Source organism: Homo sapiens, chromosome 16, assembly GCF_000001405.40.
Source record: "Homo sapiens chromosome 16, GRCh38.p14 Primary Assembly".
NCBI lineage: Eukaryota > Metazoa > Chordata > Mammalia > Primates > Hominidae > Homo > Homo sapiens.
Genome location: NC_000016.10, coordinates 32875481 through 32889011, shown reverse-complemented (window position 1 = coordinate 32889011; position 13531 = coordinate 32875481). Strand labels below are relative to the sequence as shown.

At 60.4% G+C, this 13531-nt stretch overlaps 1 pseudogene across 1 annotated transcript; it reads left to right on the top strand.

Annotated features, from left to right (window-relative positions):
• The first annotated feature begins 3869 nt into the window (after positions 1-3869).
• Positions 3870-11539, top strand: SLC6A10P (solute carrier family 6 member 10, pseudogene; annotated as a pseudogene). Its single transcript, NR_003083.3, has 9 exons — positions 3870-4102; positions 5309-6481; positions 6925-8319; positions 8411-8534; positions 9292-9394; positions 9481-9581; positions 9664-9834; positions 10016-10187; positions 11170-11539. The product of NR_003083.3 is annotated as a solute carrier family 6 member 10, pseudogene (transcript).
• Positions 11540-13531: the final 1992 nt, after the last annotated feature.

Below are 13531 nucleotides of genomic sequence, written 5' to 3'. Positions count from 1 at the left end.
AGGGAATGTGCTGATATAAAGAGAGAGGATGCTATCACTTGTGTGGCAATAATGATTAAATTGCAGAAAATCATCGTATTATGAGGTCTCCATACCCTCCTATGCAGCAGAAGAGATTTCCCTTGCTTTCAGCTGCTGGTTTCCTTACATTAAAATTTATTGCATTTCCTTTTACTGCACATTTTTTTTAAATTCTAAGATACTGTCTGCTTATTTAATTAAAGTAAGCACCAATAAATTTTAAAATTATCAATTACCTGTATAAGAAACATAAAATGGGTGTGGTGAAGATGCCGAGTAGAGATACCAGAAAACAAAACTAATAAAGAAACACATTGTGTAAGTTTAGAGTCATCACTGAGCACTGAAACCATGAGGAGCTTGTGTTGACTTTTATATTGTTGAAAGTCTATTATATTTGACATCCAGAAGGCTGATCACACCAGTGAGAAAAATCTGTAGAGTGGTCCACACAGATCAGAAATTAGAAAGTGATAAAGTCACAAACTTGCACAACCTGCAGACATTCAGTGTATTCAGCATTCAGCTCTTCCCATTTCTTCAGTAAAATAGATGGGTTACATCTGCATGGAAAATGGGACAAGTATTTTGTAAGCTGATTCTCCTGGGAAGTTGCTAATGAAATCAGTCAAGTGATGCTCTGACACAGGATTGTGAAGAGGACGTTGACCCATGGTGGTCGCTGTCATCAACACGGGATGCTCAACGCTGGTGGGTGTCTTTGTTACTGTTTTGTTCACAAGAGATTTTAAGCTGTCATGTGCTGCATGCAGGTGAGTTTTTAAGCCTCAGATGAGGAAAATAACATGACCACACAGTAGATGAGAAAATTGAAGACCTCACTTCATCAACCACATTCCACTGATGAGACCTGTTCACACAGAGAGCCAGGAATGAGCTGGGAAGAGGAAGGGGCTGGGGAAGATCATCCATAGATGGACCCATCCAGCCTGCTTGAACTCCCTGTGGAAGGAGGGTGTAAATGTTTGTCCTCAACTGATAGCGAGTATTTCAAGACCTTCACAAGCTTTCAGAAAAACAGTTTTCATGAACAAGTGGCCATACGTTACTCAGAGATGTACTTGTCATCATTTATCCTTCCTCTCTAGGCAGCACCACAGTAGCATGTTCTCAGAATTCTCCCTGATCCTCTGTGAGTTCCTGGTGCAGCTCCTGGAGGAAAAGCCTGCATGAGGGAGGGAGCCCTCCTCAATTGCAGCCCTGAGGCTGTCCCCAAAGTGCCATCAGCTCTCCTACATCCCTCTCGAGCCTCTGCTCTCTCTCCCTTCCACCCCCACCCCTTGGACAAGCAACATCTGAAAGTCTTCCCTGCCCTCGGCTCCCAGAGCTCTCTGGCGGTGGCCTGCACTCTCCCTCAAAGCGGCCCTCCCCCAGGTCACTGTCTTCCCTTCGATGACATCACGCGCCCACCCTGCGCTCCTGCTGGGCTGAGGCCCTCGGAGCCTACTTCACCGGGTCCTCTTCTCTCTTCTCTCAAAGGCCATGGGGTTTGCCTGCGGTCCAGATGGGTTGGCCCTCTTCCCCCTGTCCTGGGTCCTTGAGTGGCCCCGCTTATTTAGGCCATCTATGAGTCACTTCTCTAACGCCCCTGTCTCCAGACCAGCTTCAGTCAAAGGCTGGGCCAGAGAAGACCCTAGTGAGAAACTTCTGATGAGCAGTGTGACCTTGCCACCTCAAGGGTACCCGCCCACCGCCCCTGGTCTAAGCACAGGTGACACCGCCTGTCTCCCCCAACCACACACACCCCTTGAGGCTCCTCCTCCAAGCCTGGGTAGGGACACTGCCCCTCCCTCACCCAGGAAGCTCAGTCTGGCTTGGGCCAGAACTGCTTTTCTTCCTAAAGCTGGAGGGATGGCCGAGGGCTTAGCTTAACGGGATGAGCCATCTGGGGACTGCAGTGTCCACGATCAGATCAGGGAGCTTGAAGTTGAGGGGGGCACACTTTACCTCCCAGGCCAGGAGAATGACCACTTCCTTCCCCACCCCACCCCCAGGCTACTCTTGCCCTAGAAAATTCTAACCAAGCTGCTCAGCTGGTGGCGGAGAGGCAGCCCAACAAGCTGGCTCTTGCTGGGTAGGCCTGGGGGTCCTGGGGAGAGGAACACGGGGTGGGTGGGGGGCGGGCAGCCAGGACCTCAGACCTGAGGCCTTTGGGGAAGGGTCTGTGCACCCGCCAGGCACCAGGGGGCAGCCTTGCCTTATTCCCGCTCCAGTCCCCTCAAGTCCGAAGCCCCTACCCACTCTCATGCCAGGCAGGGGTGGGGGCCACCGGGGTCATTTACCCGGGCCCCTTCTCTGCCTTGGTGACAAAGTGGAGCCTTGCTCATCAGTCAGGCAGGCTCCCCTCTGGCCACTGTGGAGACACAGAGGCCTGTCACCTGAAGAGCTGGTCCCAGCCTCCAGCTTCCAGGGTAGCCGGGAAGCTCTAGCCCCCAGTGGGCAGCGGTGGACAGAGCTCAAGGAAGGAGCGAGCACCGGGAGGAGACGGCTGCAGCCTGCCAGGAGCGGGGAGAAAGGGAGAGAAGGGGAGGCGGAGGGCTGAGGGGGCCCGGGGGACGTCTTCCTAGGGCTGGGAGGGGCAGGCCGGGAAGCCTGGGCCACACTAGGAGCGGGCGACCCTGGGGTGAGGGGCGGCCCGGAGCACTGCGGGAGGAGCTGGCGGCCGCCCCAGGTAGCAACCATCCTGCCTCCCGCTGGAGCGGCGACTCCTCCCCGGGAGGAGGGCAGGGACAAGGTGGGCGGACTGTGACGAGCAGGGCGGGAGGGAGAGGGGGGCCGGCCAGCCGTGGGGGTGGGGCGATAGTGACATCACCCCGGAGTCGGTTTTTAAGCGGCTGCCGGCCGGGAACCGGGAAGAGAGGAACAGTCGGAACGCGGTGGCGAGTCGCTGAGCCCGCCGCGGCCCCGAGAGCGGCTGCAGCCGCCGCCGCCCAGAAGGAGAGGGCGAGGCGCGCCTGAGCCGCCGCCGCCGCCACCGGAGTCTCGGGTGAGCCGGGCAGCCGCCGCGGGCCCCGGTCGGGGCCGGGGGCGCGGGCCACAGGCCCCTGCTCCAGCCGCCGCTTGCAGACTGCGAGCGCCGATATCGCCCGCGCCCCGCTAGGCTGAGCCTCGGGTCGGCCGAGGAGCCGTGGCAGCCGCCACCGCCCGAGCCGCGGGCAAGAGCCTCCGGAACCGCTGCCGCGGACGCCTGGCCGGGCCCCGCCGACGCCCGCGCGCCCCCGGGCCCCTGACACACAGGAGATTCTTCAGGCTCACTTTCAAGTGCTTCGTGGACTGCTTCTGACTGCGCCGCCTGTGACCCGCACCCCGCCGCTCTCCCGCCGCCCCGTCCCCCGGCCCGGCCGCCCCCCGGCCCCCGGCCGGCCCGCGCCCTCGGGGCCCTCCCCGGTGCCGCCGGTGCCCCGCGCCTGACCGCAGCCCCCCGCAGGGTGCCGCGACCCCAGCCCGGCCGTGAGGCCCGCAGGGGCCATGGCGAAGAAGAGCGCCGAGAACGGCATCTGTAGCGTGTCCGGCGACCAGAAGAAGGGCCCCCTCATCGCGCCCGGGCCCGACGGGGCCCGGGCCAAGGGCGACGGCCCCGCGGGCCTGGGGACACCCGGCGGCGGCCTGGCCGTGCCGCCGCGCGCGATAGACCTGGACGCGCCAGATGGACTTCATCATGTCGTGTGTGGGCTTCGCCGTGGGCCTGGGCAACGTGTGGCGCTTCCCCTACCTGTGCTACAAGAATGGCGGAGGTGAGCTCCCCCGCCCCCCGCGGCCCCCTCCCCCAGCAGGCCGCCGGCCCCTGACGCCCGACCCCCAACCCCCGGAGCCGCCGCGGAGGGGTGAAGTCCGGGCAGCGGTTGGCCCCTGGGCACGCGGGGTCGGGGCCGCCCCTGGTCCACCGCTGCTGCTCGGTGGCTGGGCCGTCCGCCTCCACCCCTCTCGCAGTCATGTGCCTGGCAGGGTGAGGGGCGGGGGCCGGCGATGCCCGCGAGGCTGCCCCCCAGACTCCTGGGCTGGAAGGAGCGATTGGCCGCCGAGGTGGGAAAGCAGGCCTGCGCCTTGGGGTCTCCTCGAGGTAAGGAGCCCTGGCTGCCCCTGCGGGTCGGGCACACAAGCGGCACATTGTGTGGGCCCCCCACGTGTGCACACACACGAACACACACACACACAATGGGCCACTCTGTTCCTCTCCCTGCCCTCCCCTCCCCTCGCAGCCCTCCCGCTCCTCCCCTCTGGCCCGGGGCTGGAACACTGGGTACCTGAGCCAGGCTTGGGAAGCCTGTGGCCTGGCCCGCCTGGCGCCGCCACTGGAAACACTGCATGCACGTCCCATGCCCGCCCGCCTGTCTGGGCCCAGCTTAGCAAGAGCGATGGGCACGCGTGTGTCCTGTGACTACAAAACAGCACTGGGGTTTCTGGAAGCCGAAGTGACCCAGTGATGGGTGGGAAACAGAGGTCCAGAGCAAAGGCCTTTGCCCAAAGTTAGGAGAAGGATGCTGGGACCTGGAGTCAGGCAAGTTGCAGCCAAGCTCGGCCTCTGAGTAGTGGAGCGAGCCCAGCCAGGGCAAGGGTAGGAGGCCCAGAGAGGAGAAGGGGGTAGTGGCACCCAGCTCTCCCTGCCCTTTTGCCACCCCCACCCCAGCCTGCTGGCCAGGGCCTGTGCCATGCCCTGCCTATCTCCTGTAGAGCCTGACTCCCTGGGCTTGCTAAGGCCGGCCTGGCCCCTCTTCCCGCACCTGTATCCCTCTGTCCTTGCACGTGGCCATCCCACCAGCAGGGGACTGTGACCCACCCGCCCTCTGCCTTGGACCTCACACTTGCAGGCAAGCGTCCAAGTGCAGGACAGTCGCGCTCCCTGCCTTTGGATGAGCCCCTCAGGCCTGATCACCCAGCCTTGGCGCACATGCACACACGCACATGCCCTCACTGTGCTGCCTGAAACAGGGAATTGCGGCACTAGGGACAGGCTGCGTGTCTGAGCGTGCGTGTCCTCCATGGCCATCACCCCAAGTGACCGTGGGGGTGGAAGCCCTGTGGGCCTAGCGCCTCTCTGCCACCCAGGGAATAGGACTTCAATGGCCCAGGGGCTACTGTAGCACCTCTTCAACACACTGAACCCAGCCCCTCAAGACCCTACGTGGGGCCCGAGTCAGTGGCCACCCCTACACTGACTCACCCAGTGGGAAGTTGTGATGGGGCCTTTGGAGTCTGGGCTGGCCCGCTGGGCCTGGGCAGCCTGGCTGGGGGCCACCCTGAGTCCACCCTGTGCCTCCACCCCCAGGTGTGTTCCTTATTCCCTGCATCCTGATAGCCCTGGTCGGAGGAATCCCCATTTTCTTCTTGGAGATCTCGCTGGGCCAGTTCATGAAGGCCGGCAGCATCAATGTCTGGAACATCTGTCCCTTGTTCAAAGGTGAGCAGCCCTTGGCCAGCCTCAGGGACTGCCCCCTTTTCCCAGCTGGCTCCCACTTGAGAAATCTTTTCCTGTCCTGAGCACCAGGCCTGGGGCCACGTGATGGCATCCCAGTCTCGAGGGGGGAGCCTGGAGGAGATGTTCAGGCCGCACAGTGAATTTGGGGAAGCAGGGACTAGAGGGGGCATAGGCAGCTCCACAAGGCAAGGACAGGCCAGGCATAGCCGGGCTGGGGATGGGACCTGCCCAGCACACTTGGCTCTCTAGGTAGGTCCTACTATTACTGTCCCCAAGGACGCTGGGGCACAGACAGGTGGAGCGACGTACTGAGGTTGCCCACTACGGGGGCAACTGTCTCCAACACTACCTCAGGCTACTAGAAACTCCCCCCCTCCCCACCACCACCACCACCAGCTGCTGAGGACTGGAGCTACTGGGTGGCCAGGTGGAGGCTTGGACCTCCTGGAACCGCCATGGTGGCAGTGGGACCCACAGAAGGGGCCAGGTGTGTAAGGCTGGAGACTCAACAGCACTTGGTCAGATGGGGACAGGAGGAGAGGGGCTCGCTCTGCCTTGGGTCTAGGGGGCGGCTGGAGGAGAGGAGAGAGGCTGGGGAGTCAGCCCAGTGTTGGGGCTCACACAAGGGGGAGTCCAGGGGAGTCAGGAGCACCACAAACAAGGCTCCAGAAGGACAGACGGTGGGAGCACTGCCAGCCTGGGTGGGGAGATAAAGGGGTGGCAGGGGAGGTGGCCAGGAAAGAATCTACATGGCAAGGACTTCCCGGCCCCAGGCCTGGGCTATGCCTCCATGGTGATCGTCTTCTACTGCAACACCTACTACATCATGGTGCTGGCCTGGGGCTTCTATTACCTGGTCAAGTCCTTTAGCACCACGCTGCCCTGGGCCACATGTGGCCACACCTGGAACACTCCCGACTGTGTGGAGATCTTCCGCCATGAAGACTGTGCCAGTGCCAGCCTGGCCAACCTCACTTGTGACCAGCTTGCTGACCGCCAGTCCCCTGTCATCGAGTTCTGGGAGTGAGTCCAGCACCTCTGGGCCAAGCCCATCCCATCCCCCAGGTCTCCCTCATGTTGCCTGGCTCCAGGGGAATGGCCCTGAGAGGGGACCAGGGTGTTTCTTGGCAGTCCCTCCTGGACCCTGCCTGCCCTTGTCTGCCCTCGGAGAGTCCTGGGGCCAGCCCCAGGGGCTGCGCCAGGTCAGCCTTGCTCCTGGGTTCGGCAGCCTATCACTGTCCTGGTCACTCCCGCCTGATGGGGGAGCTGGGGCTGCATGTGGGGTGGGATGGGAGTGGCCTCCCAAAGGCCAGGGGCTCGTGGGCTCCAGGCCCAGCCCAGATGGACAAGAGGGCCCACTGAACCCTGGGCTGTGGGAGAGAAGGGAGCCACGACTCCTGGGGGTGGACCCTGTGGCTCCATCCTCTGCTGGCACAGGCCTCATGGGACCTCCCTCCCTCCCCTAGGAACAAAGTCTTGAGGCTGTCTGGGGGACTGGAGGTGCCAGGGGCCCTCAACTGGGAGGTGACCCTTTGTCTGCTGGCCTGCTGGGTGCTGGTCTACTTCTGTGTCTGAAAGGGGGTCAAATCCATGGGAAAGGTACCACTAGAGGCATGCAGGGGGGAGGGTGGCTCAGCCCTGGGAGCTGGATGTCTGTGCCAGGCACACCCGTAGCAACGGGAGGTGACCAGACAGAGTCTAGCCCTAAGGAAGGGGGAGGTACTGAAAGCCAAGCAACACTCCCCACCCTGCAAATCCAGGGCCCAGCAGCCTTTGCTCCTGTGGGGAGAGGCCCCAGCAGGCACTGTCCCTTCCCTGTGCCCATCACCCCCACCGGTGCCCTCCTGCCAGTCTCTGACTCTTGTGACAGTCTGCTGGACCTGGTCTGGCCATCTGTTACCTGCCTATCTTGCCTTGGGGACACAGAGCAGAGTCTGGCCACATCCCTTGGGGGCTCCTGGTCAGGCTGGGGAGTCACCTGAACAAAGAAGACAATGTCCAGAGCTGTGGGACATGGCCAGCTCCCTGGGGGACAAGGTCCCCAGAGCAGCATGTGGGAAGAGGGGGCAGACAGTGTGGCAGCCGCATCTTGCCTGCCTCTGCCTGGCCCAGTTCCACTCTTCACCTGCTCAGCCCCGACCTCTCTCCAGAAGAGGAGGGGGGCCCGGCCCTGATCCAATATCCCGCTCCCTGCCTGGGCCTCCCATGCGTGCACTGCCCACACACTCACACAGCTCTCACTCCCCACATGCTCCATGCCTCCTGTCCCCACTGAGGAGAGCTCCTAGAGGCTCGCCCGCTCCCCACTGACATGCATCCCTGCAGACAAACGAGGCGCCCAGAGAGCTTCCCCACTGCACTTGCCAGGGCTGCCGGGGCCCAGCCTTGCCCCTAGCTTCCTCTGGCGGGAGCTATGGCTCGGAGGAGAATGGGGACCTCTGAACATACCTGCCCGCAAGGGGGACCGGAGGTGCTCGGAGTGGGCTTGTGAGGGAGGTGGTGCCGCAGTCCCCGCTGAGCAGCCTGGCCCCCCAGATCGTGTACTTCACTGCTACATTCCCCTACGTGGTCCTGGTCGTGCTGCTTGTGCTTGGAGTGCTGCTGCCTGGCGCCCTGGACAGCATCATTTACTATCTCAAGCCTGACTGGTCAAAGCTGGGGTCCCCTCAGGTGAGGTGGAGGTGGGGAGGCTGCAGCAGGGTGTTGTGGGGGAGCCCTGCAGGCCCCTCATGCCTGCACTCTCCAGCCCTCCTCTAGGTATGGATAGATGTGGGGACCCAGATTTTCTTTTCTTATGCCATTGGCCTGGGGGCCCTCACAGCCCTGGGCAGCTACAACCGCTTCAACAACAACTGCTACAAGTAAGCACTGCTGCCCTGCCACCCGTGCCCTGTCCCGCCCTGCCCTGCCCAGCAGCCTAACCCATCCACTCTGGCCCCTCCACCCCTCCAGGACGCCATCATCCTGGCTGTCATCAACAGTGGGACCAGCTTCTTTGCTGGCTTCGTGGTCTTCTCCATCCTGGGCTTCATGGCTGCAGAGCAGGGCATGCACATCTCCAAGGTGGCAGAGTCAGGTAGGGCCCTACCCCCAGCCCCGCCTCCAGAGCAGCAACTGCCACCCAGATGCATGATGTACAAGAACACGCAATAGAAATGCTGAAAAGTGATGAGGATTCAAACAGAACTTCTCAGATTGTGGGCCTGTGGGGGCAGGTCCTGGGATTTTTCAATGTTGACAGAGACAGGACCTCCCAGCCCCTGCTGCATGACCCAGGGTTGACAGCACCTCAGAGGCAGGCGTGGGCATGGGCGTGAGTGTTGCAGGCAGGGCTCAGGGTGCGCGCAGGGCACGACATCGGCTGCAAGGTCTAGAGCCTGCACCTTTCCCACAGGGCCGGGCCTGGCCTTCATCGCCTACCCACAGGCTGTCACACTGATGCCAGTGGCCCCACTCTGGGCTGCCCTGTTCTTCTTCATGCTGTTGCTGCTTGGTCTCGACAACCAGATTTGCATGGGGCTCTGGGACAGGGAGCCAGGAGAGGGGCGGAGTGAGGGCTGCGGGCAAGGAAAGGGGTGGAGGGTGGTGCGGGGCTCGGCCTGAGCTAGCCTGGCCACAGTTTGTAGGTGTGGAGGGCTTCATCACCGGCCTCCTCAACCTCCTCCCAGCCTCCTACTACTTCTGTTTCCAAAGGGAGATCTCTGTGGCCCTCTGTTGTGCCCTCCGCTTTGTCATTGATCTCTCCATGGTGACTGATGTGAGTGGGGTGGGGGGTCTGCCTGTGACCTCTGGTGGCCGTCTGCCATCCTCCCTGACTGGGCTCTGTCCCCCAGGGTGGGATGTATGTCTTCCAGCTGTTTGACTACTACTCAGCCAGTGGCACCACCCTGCTCTGGCAGGCCTTTTGGGAGTGCGTGGTGGTGGTCTGGGTGTATGGTAGGTCATGGCTGAGGGCTGGGCTGGGGCATGGTGGCGGGGAAGGCAGGTCTCCAGCTTGGCCCTCCCGCCTCGCCTTGCCACAGGAGCTGACCGCTTCACGGACGACATTGCCTGTATGATCGGGTACCGACCTTGCCCCTGGATGAAATGGTGCTGGTCCTTCTTCACCCCGCTGGTTTGCATGGTAAGGGCTGGGGGAGGTGGGGCGGGGTGGGGGGGGCGGGGCGGGGTGGGGGCCCCATTAACCACGGCATTCTGGTCTGTAGGGCATCTTCATCTTCAACGTTGTGTACTACAAGCCGCTGGTCTACAAAAACACCAACGTGTACCCGTGGTGGGGTGAGGCCATGGGCTGGGCCTTCGTGCTGTCCTCCATGCTGTGCATGCCACTGCACCTCCTGGGCTGCCTCCTCAGGGCCAAGGGCACCATGGCTGAGGTAAGGCTCCCTCCCGGCCTGCCCTCCCCTCCCCTGCTATGAACATTCAACCCAGCCTGCTTCCTAGCCAAGGAGTGGCCCTGACTAGGGTGGCAGGCAGCAGGAGCTGGAGAGAGGCAGAGGAAGTCACCGTGGGGATGAGCAGGTGACTCTGGGGGCTTCAACATGTCCTCTCCTGCAGTGCTGGAAGCACCTGACCCAGCCCATCTGGGGCCTCCACCACTTGGAGTACCGAGCTCAGGATGCAGATGTCAGGGGCCTGACCACCCTGACCCCAGTGTCCGAGAGCAGCAAGGTCGTCGTGGTGGAGAGTGTCATGGGACAGCTCAGCTCACATCACCAGCTCACCTCTGGTAGCCATAGCAGCCCCTGCTTCATCCCCACCCCACCCCTCCAGGGGGCCTGCCTTTCCCTGACGCTTTTGGGGTCTGCCTGGGAGAGGAGGGGAGAAAGCACCATGAGTGCTCACTAAAACAACTTTTTCCATTTTTAATAAAACGCCAAAAATATCACAACCCACCAAAAATAGATGCCTCTCCCCCTCCAGTCCTAGCCCAGCTGGTCCTAGGCCCCGCCTAGTGCCCCACCCCCACCCACAGTGCTGCACTCCTCCTGCCCCTGCCACGCCCACCCCCTGCCCACCTCTCCAGGTTCTGCTCTGTAGCACACCCTTGGGTGACCCCTCACCCCAGAAGCAGCAGTGGCAGCTTGGGAAATGTGAGGAAGGGAAGGAGGGAGAGACGGGAGGGAGGAGAGAGAGGAGAAGGGAGGCAAGGGAGGGGCAGCAGAACCAAGACAAATATTTCAGCTGGGCTATACCCCTCTCCCCATCCCTGTTATAGAAGCTTAGAGAGCCAGCCAGCAGTGGAACCTTCTGGTTCCTGCGCCAATCACCACCAATATCAATTGTGTGAGCTTGGGTGCGAGTGCACGCGTGCGTGAGCACGTAGAGTATATATAGATCTCTATCTCTTAGCAAAGGTGAATACCAGATGTAAATGGTGCCTCTGGGCAAAGGAGGCTTGTATTTTGCACATTTTATAACAACTTGAGAGAATGAGATTTCTGCTTGTATATTTCTAAAAAGAGGAAGGAGCCCAAACCATCCTCTCCTTACCACTCCCATTCCTGTGAGCCCTACCTTACCCCTCTGCCCCTAGCCTAGGAGTGTGAATTTATAGATCTAACTTTCAGAGGCAAAACAAAAGCTTCGAGCTGTTGCATGTGCGAGTCTGTTGTGTGGATGTGTGTGTGTGGTCCCCAGACCCAGAATGGATTGGAAAAGTGCATGGTGGGGGCCTCGGGGCTGTCCCCACGCTGTCCCTTTGCCCACAGGTCTGTGGGGCAAGAGGCTGCAATATTCCATCCTGGGTGTCTGGGCTGCTAACCTGGCCTGCTCAGGCTTCCCACCCTGTGCCCTGGGCTGGGCACACCCCCGGGAAGGGACCCCGGACACGGCTCCCACATCCAGGCTCAAGGCGGATGCACTTCCTGCACCTCCAGTCTTCTGTGTAGCGGCTTTAACCCACGTATGTCTGTCACGTCCAGTCCCGAGACGGCTGAGTGACCCCAAGAAAGGCTTCCCTGACACCCGGACAGAGGCTGGAGGGCTGGGGCTGGGTGAGGGTGGTGGGCCTGCGGGGACATTCTTACTGTGCTAAAAAGCCACTGCAAACATAGCAATAAAAACCTGTCATTTTCCAAAGCAGGCCTCTGCTTCTGCCTCTGCTGCTCTAAGGGGTCGAGGTGCAGGAAGTAGGGGGAACCTCCTCCAGCTGGAGCTGCTGTGGTGGGCAAGGCTCTACTCTGGAGGCCTCTGAGGCCGGCACCCTTCTGGGGACTGGGAAGGGAGCAGGGAAGGCAGCAGCCCAGGGAAAACCTTGTCCCCCTGGAGCCGAGGCACCTGGGAAGAGCAGGATGAGAGAGCTGGAGAGCAGCCACACCCACGGGGAAGGATGGGTGTAAAGCCATGGGTGCTGAAATTTTCAAAATGTTACCCCAAGAATTTGTCACTGAACAGGTGCCTTGTGTCACTTGGGCCAGGCTGATAGCAGCAGAGGGGATAACTCTTTGCATCAGGGATCAATTTTGAAGGTGGAGCCAGTAGGGGTTGTGCATGACCAGGATGCAGGGCTCAAAGAGGAGTTAAGGACAACAGATTTGGCCTGAGCAAGAGGAAAGATGGAGCTGCCAGGTCCTGCAATGGGGAGGCAAGGAGAGAATGGTCCGGAGTCAGCCTTGGGTGTGTCATGCAGGAAGTGTCATCCAAGTGGAGATGTCTAGTTGGCAGGTGGACACAGGAGTTCCAGAAAGTACTGGAGATGGAACTTTGCAAGTTCTTACCACATAGAGATGACACTGAAAGCCCTGAACCTGGGTGAGCTCACAGGGACGCCGCAAGTCCCGGGACACAATGAGAGGGGCAGAGGGAAGATGCGGCAGCAATGGGGGAGGATGCCTGAGAGCTCCTGGTGGGGTCCTGCAACCTGAGCCAGTGAGGACCCCTCACAGGTCAGGGAGGAGCAGTGGCTGGCTCCATCTGTCCAGTGCTGCTGCTGCTGCTGCTGCTGGTGAAGGACAGTGACCTGCAAATGCTCACTGAGTCTGGCAAGGGTCACAGGGGCCTGGTGAGGGTGGCTTGCATGAGGGGTTGCGTGTGAAAGGCTGGTTGGTGTGCGATTGAGAAAAGGAGTGGCGGCAGCCCATTGTCATCTGCAGACGAAGGGAGAGACAACAACATAGTTTACCCAGACAAGGAAATATGAGCCGGCCTGGAAAGGGAAGGCACTCCAACACACGACACAACATGGCTGACCCCTGGAGGGCATTTCTGTGAAATGATCCATCATAAAGAGACACTTGCTATAGGGTTCTGCTCCTGAGAGAGAGACAGGGCCTTACATGAGAGGAGGGAGATCCACAGAGACAGAGGGCAAGGGTGGGTGCCAGGGGCTGGGGACAGGGTGGGGAGTGTTGAGTGGGGACAGAGTGTCAGTTTGAGAAGATAAATTCTAGAGGTGGACGGAAGTGGTGGCTGCGCAACACTGTGACTGCACTTAATGCCACTGAATTGCACACTTAACGATGGTGAAAATGGCTCATTACATATACATTGATGACACTATATATATGTGTGATATACATGCGTTTTACCATGAGAAGAGGCGGAGAGGAATTGAAGACAGTGAGTACAGACAGGTCCTTCAAGGGGCGGGACCCATGCACAAGATGAGCATGTGGCACCCCACCCTGAAAGGGCTGGGCACCATGGCAGGGCACAGCAGGCAATGCAGTGGGTGGCTCAGGCAAGCACAGAGAGCATCAGGGATTGGAGCCTGTGAAGGGGGAGCAGGTGACCCCTCAGAGCAAAATGACAGCTTGGGCTGCTCCCTTTGCGTCCTGCCCAGGACTGCTATCATGCTATGGGAGAACCCCCAGAGGCCCTGCTCCTCAGCAGGCAGCACCCCCTATGGAGGGGCTTTACCCCTAAACTTCTGGAGCCAGGAGAGGGACCTGGCTTAGAATACGGCCAACCAAGAGCCTGGGTGAGAAATACATGGACCAGACAGGGAGCAGAGAAAGGAGTGGCAGCGCAGTCCCACCCTAGCTCAGCTGGGGGCTCTGGAGCCTGCTCTGGCCCCCATCTCTTCGGCAACCACTGTTTCTAGTTTTCTTTTTCTCCCCGAGAAGCCTGTCC